The sequence below is a fragment of the Homo sapiens genome, chromosome 7 (assembly GCF_000001405.40).
Source record: "Homo sapiens chromosome 7, GRCh38.p14 Primary Assembly".
Lineage (NCBI taxonomy): Eukaryota > Metazoa > Chordata > Mammalia > Primates > Hominidae > Homo > Homo sapiens.
Genome location: NC_000007.14, coordinates 13804458 through 13808367, shown reverse-complemented (window position 1 = coordinate 13808367; position 3910 = coordinate 13804458). Strand labels below are relative to the sequence as shown.

The following is a 3910-nucleotide window of genomic DNA, read 5'->3' as shown; positions in this document are numbered from 1 at the left end:
CAGCACACTGATGGGTCTTGACTCTTTATCCAATTTGCCAGTCTGTGTCTTTTCACTGGAGCATTTAGTCCATTTACATTTAAAGTTAATATTGTTATGTGTGAATTTGATCCTGTCATTATGATGTTAGCTGGTTATTTTGCTCGTTAGTTGATGCAGTTTCTTCCTAGTCTCGACGGTCTTTACATTTTGGCATGACTTTGCAGCGGCTGGTACCGGTTGTTCCTTTCCATATTTAGCGCTTCCTTCAGGAGCTCTTTTCGGGCAGGCCTGGTGGTGACAAAATCTCTCAGCATTTGCTTGTCTGTAAAGTATTTTATTTCTCCTTCACTTATGAAGCTTAGTTTGGCTGGATATGAAATTCTGGGTTGAAAATTCTTTTCTTTAAGAATGTTGAATATTGGCCCCCACTCTCTTCTGGCTTGTAGGGTTTCTGCCGAGAGATCCGCTGTTAGTCTGATGGGCTTCCCTTTGAGGGCAACCCGACCTTTCTCTCTGGCTGCCCTTAACATTTTTTCCTTCATTTCAACTTTGGTGAATCTGACAATTGTGTGTCTTGGAGTTGCTCTTCTCGAGGAGTATCTTTGTGGCGTTCTCTGTATTTCCTGAATCTGAACGTTGGCCTGCCTTGCTAGATTGGGGAAGTTCTCCTGGATAATATCCTGCAGCATGTTTTCCAACTTGGTTCCATTCTCCCCATCACTTTCAGGTACACCAATCAGACGTAGATTTGGTCTTTTCACATAGTCCCATATTTCTTGGAGGCTTTGCTCATTTCTTTTCATTCTTTTCTCTCTAAACTTCCCTTCTCACTTCATTTCATTCATTTCATCTTCCATCGCTGATACCCTTTCTTCCAGTTGATCGCATTGGCTCCTGAGGCTTCTGCATTCTCACGTAGTTCTCGAGCCTTGGTTTTCAGCTCCATCAGCTCCTTTAAGCATTTCTCTGTATTGGTTATTCTAGTTATACATTCTAAATTTTTTTCAAAGTTTTCAACTTCTTTGCCTTTGGTTTGAATGTCCTCCCGTAGCTCAGAGTAATTTGATCATCTGAAGCCTTCTTCTCTCAGCTCGTCAAAGTCATTCTCCATCCAGCTTTGTTCCGTTGCTGGTGAGGAACTGCGTTCCTTTGGAGGAGGAGAGGCGCTCTGCTTTTTAGAGTTTCCAGTTTTTCTGTTCTGTTTTTTCCCCATCTTTGTGGTTTTATCTACTTTTGGTCTTTGATGATGGTGATGTACAGATGGGTTTTTGGTGTGGATGTCCTTTCTGTTTGTTAGTTTTCCTTCTAACAGACAGGACCCTCAGCTGCAGGTCTATTGGAATACCCTGCCGTGTGAGGTGTCAGTGTGCCCCTGCTGGGGGGTGCCTCCCAGTTAGGCTGCTCGGGGGTCAGGGGTCAGGGACCCACTTGAGGAGGCAGTCTGCCCGTTCTCAGATCTCCAGCTGCGTGCTGGGAGAACCACTGCTCTCTTCAAAGCCCTCAGACGGGGACATTTAAGTCTGCAGAAGTTACTGCTGTCTTTTTGTTTGTCTGTGCCCTGCCCCCAGAGGTGGAGCCTACAGAGGCAGGCAGGCCTCCTTGAGCTGTGGTGGGCTCCACCCAGTTCGAGCTTCCCAGCTGCTTTGTTTACCTAATCAAGCCTGGGCAATGGCATGTGCCCCTCCCCCAGCCTCGCTGCCGCCTTGCAGTTTGATCTCAGACTGCTGTGCTAGCAATCAGCGAGACTCCGTGGGCGTAGGACCCTCCGAGCCAGGTGCGCGATATAATCTCGTGGTGCGCCGTTTTTTAAGCCCGTCGGAAAAGCGCAGTATTCGGGTGGGAGTGACCCGATTTTCCAGGTGCCGTCCGTCACCCCTTTCTTTGACTGGGAAAGGGAACTCCCTGACCCCTTGGGCTTCCCAAGTGAGGCAATGCTTCGCCCTGCTTCGGCTCGCACAAGGTGCGCGCACCCACTGACCTGCGCCCACTGTCTGGCACTCCCTAGTGAGATGAACCCGGTACTTCAGATGGAAATGCAGAAATCACCTGTCGTCTGCGTCGCTCACGCTGGGAGCTGTAGACCGGAGCTGTTCCTATTCGGCCATCTTGGCTCCTCGATCCTGAGTGAGTTTCTTAGTCCTGAGTTCTAATTTGATTGCACTGTGGCCTGAGAGACTGTTTGTTATGAGTTCTGTTCTTTTGCATTTGCTGAGGAGTGTTTTACTTCCAATTATGTGGTCAATTTTAGAATAAGTGTGATGTGGTGGTGAGAAGAATGTATATTTTGTTTATTTGGGGTGGAGAATTCTGTAGATGTCTATTAGGTCTGCTTGGTGCAGAGCTGAGTTCAAGTCCTGAATATCTTTCTTAATTTTCTGTCTCGTTGATCTGTCTAATATTGACAGTGGGGTGTTAAAGTCTCCCACTATTATTGCATGGGAGTCTAAGTCTCTTTGTAGGTCTGTAAGAACTTGCTTTATGAATCTGGGTGCTCCTGTTTTGGGTGCATCTATATTTAGGATAGTTAGCTCTTCTTGTTGCATTGATTCCTTTAACATTATGTAATGCCCTTTTTTGTCTTTTTTGATCTTTGTTGGTTTAAAGTCTGTTGTATGACAGACTATGATTGCAAACCCTGCTTTTTTTTTTGCTTTCCATTTGCTTGGAAAATATTCCTTCATCTCTTTATTTTGAGCCTATGTGTGTCTTTGCACGTGAAATGGGTCTCCTCAATACAGCACAGTGATGGGTCTTGACTGTTTATGCAATTTGCCAGTCTGTGTCTTTTAATTGGGGCATTTAGCCCATTTACAGTTAAGGTTAATATTTCTATGTGTGAATTTGATCCTGTCATTATGATGCTAGCTGGTTATATTGCCTGTTAGTTGTTGCAGTTAATTCGTGGTGTGGATGGTCTTTACAATTTGGTATATTTTTGCAGTGGCTGGTACTGGTTTTTTCCTTTCCATATTTAGTGCTTCCTTCAGGAGCTCTTGTAAGGCAGGCCTGGTGGTGACAAATCTCTCAGCATTTGTTTGTCTGTAAAGGATTTTATTTCTCCTTCGCTTATGAAACTTAGTTTCGCTAGATATGAAATTCTGGGTTGAAAATTCTTTTCTTTAAGAATGTTGAATATTGGCCCTCACTCTCTTCTGGCTTGTAGGGTTTCTCCCAAGAGATCTGCTGCTAGTCTGGTGGACTTCCCTTTGTCGGTAACCGGACGTTTCTCTCTGGCTGCCCTTAACATTTTTTCCTTCATTTCAACCTTGCTGAATCTGACGATTATGTCTTGGGGTTGCTCTTCTCGGGGAGTATCTTTGTGGTGTGCTCTGTATTTCCTGAATTTGAATGTTGGCCTGTCTTGCTAGGTTGGGAAAGTTCTTCTGGATAATATCCTGAAGAGTGTTTTCCAACTTGGTTCCATTCTCCCCATCACTTTCAGGTACACCAATCAAATGTAGGTTTGGTCTTTTCACATAGTCCCATATTTCTTAGAGACTTTGTTTGTTCCTTTTCATTCTTTTTTCTCTAATCTTGTCTTCATGCTTTATTTTATTAAGTTGATCTTCAATCTCTGATATCCTTTCTTCTGCTTGATCGATTCAGTTATTGATACCCGTGTATGATTCACAAAGTTCTCATGCTGTGTTTTTCAGCTCTGTCAGGTCATTTATATTCTTCTCTAAACTGGTCGTTCTAGTTAGCCATTCCTCTAATTTTTTTTCAAGGTTCTTAGCTTCCTTGCATTCAGTTAGAACATGTCCTTTTCCTTGGAGGAATTTATTATTACCCACCATCTGAAGCCTACTTCTGTCAATTTGTCAAACTCATTCTCCGTCCAGTTTTGTTCCCTTGCTGGTGAAGAGTTGTAATCCTTTGGAGGAGAAGAGGTGTTCTGGTTTTTGGAATTTTCAGCCTTTTTGCACTG

General features: G+C 43.9%; 2 annotated features.

The window, feature by feature from the left end:
* Window positions 902-1664: an enhancer, noted in NCBI's record as "NANOG-H3K27ac-H3K4me1 hESC enhancer chr7:13846329-13847091 (GRCh37/hg19 assembly coordinates)". NCBI's record gives its function as "activates a minimal SCP1, AML or CMV promoter by ChIP-STARR-seq in naive H9 embryonic stem cells {active_cell/tissue: H9 hESC(naive)}" and the evidence as "EXISTENCE:reporter gene assay evidence [ECO:0000049][PMID:30033119]".
* Window positions 1665-2429: an enhancer, noted in NCBI's record as "NANOG-H3K27ac-H3K4me1 hESC enhancer chr7:13845564-13846328 (GRCh37/hg19 assembly coordinates)". NCBI's record gives its function as "activates a minimal SCP1, AML or CMV promoter by ChIP-STARR-seq in naive H9 embryonic stem cells {active_cell/tissue: H9 hESC(naive)}" and the evidence as "EXISTENCE:reporter gene assay evidence [ECO:0000049][PMID:30033119]".